At 32.9% G+C, this 699-nt stretch overlaps 1 pseudogene; it reads left to right on the forward strand.

Annotated features, from left to right (window-relative positions):
- Window positions 1–305: 305 nt before the first annotated feature.
- LOC124902351 (uncharacterized) lies at window positions 306–415 on the forward strand (annotated as a pseudogene).
- The last annotated feature ends 284 nt before the right edge of the window (window positions 416–699 follow it).

The raw sequence follows: 699 nt of genomic DNA on the forward strand, positions 1-699 counted from the left end.
CCATCCTGGGTGACAGAGCTAGATCCCGTCTCAAAAATTAAAAAAAAAAAAAAATAGAGAAAAAATAATCATATAAAATGCTTACTGAAAACCGCAAAAGGCAGAAAGAGTAGAAGACAAAAATAGGAACAAAAAACAAGGATAGCAAATAGCAAACAGTAACAAATATAGTAGATATTAATCCAACTATATGAATAATCACTGGTCTAGATGCACCAATCAAAAGAGAATGCCAGAGTGGATCAAAAAACAAGAGCCAAGTGTATGTTGCCCACGAGACACACAGAATAAAAGTAAAAGATTTAATCCTTTTGGGGTTCATAAGCGTGATGACTGGGTTTTTGACACTCATGTGTGAGATGCACTTCTCTCAAACCTTTTTGCAATGTTGGCATACTATCATACCTGCTTGATGTGGAAAAAAAAGTAAAGGATTTGAGAAAGATATACCATGCTAACACTAATAAAAAGAAAGGGACAGTAGCCATATTAATTTGAGGCACAGCCAATTTTATAACAAGTAAAATTATCAGGAATAAATGGGGTATTGCATAGTAATATAGGGGGTTAATTCTGTAAGATAATGTAACAATCCTTAATGAATATACATCCAACAACAGAACATGAAAATACATGAGTCAAAAACTGATAGATTTCAAAGAGAAATAGATTAATTCGCTATTACGTTTAGAGACTTCA

This window comes from Homo sapiens, chromosome 9 (assembly GCF_000001405.40).
Source record: "Homo sapiens chromosome 9, GRCh38.p14 Primary Assembly".
In the NCBI taxonomy this organism is placed as follows: Eukaryota; Metazoa; Chordata; class Mammalia; order Primates; family Hominidae; genus Homo; species Homo sapiens.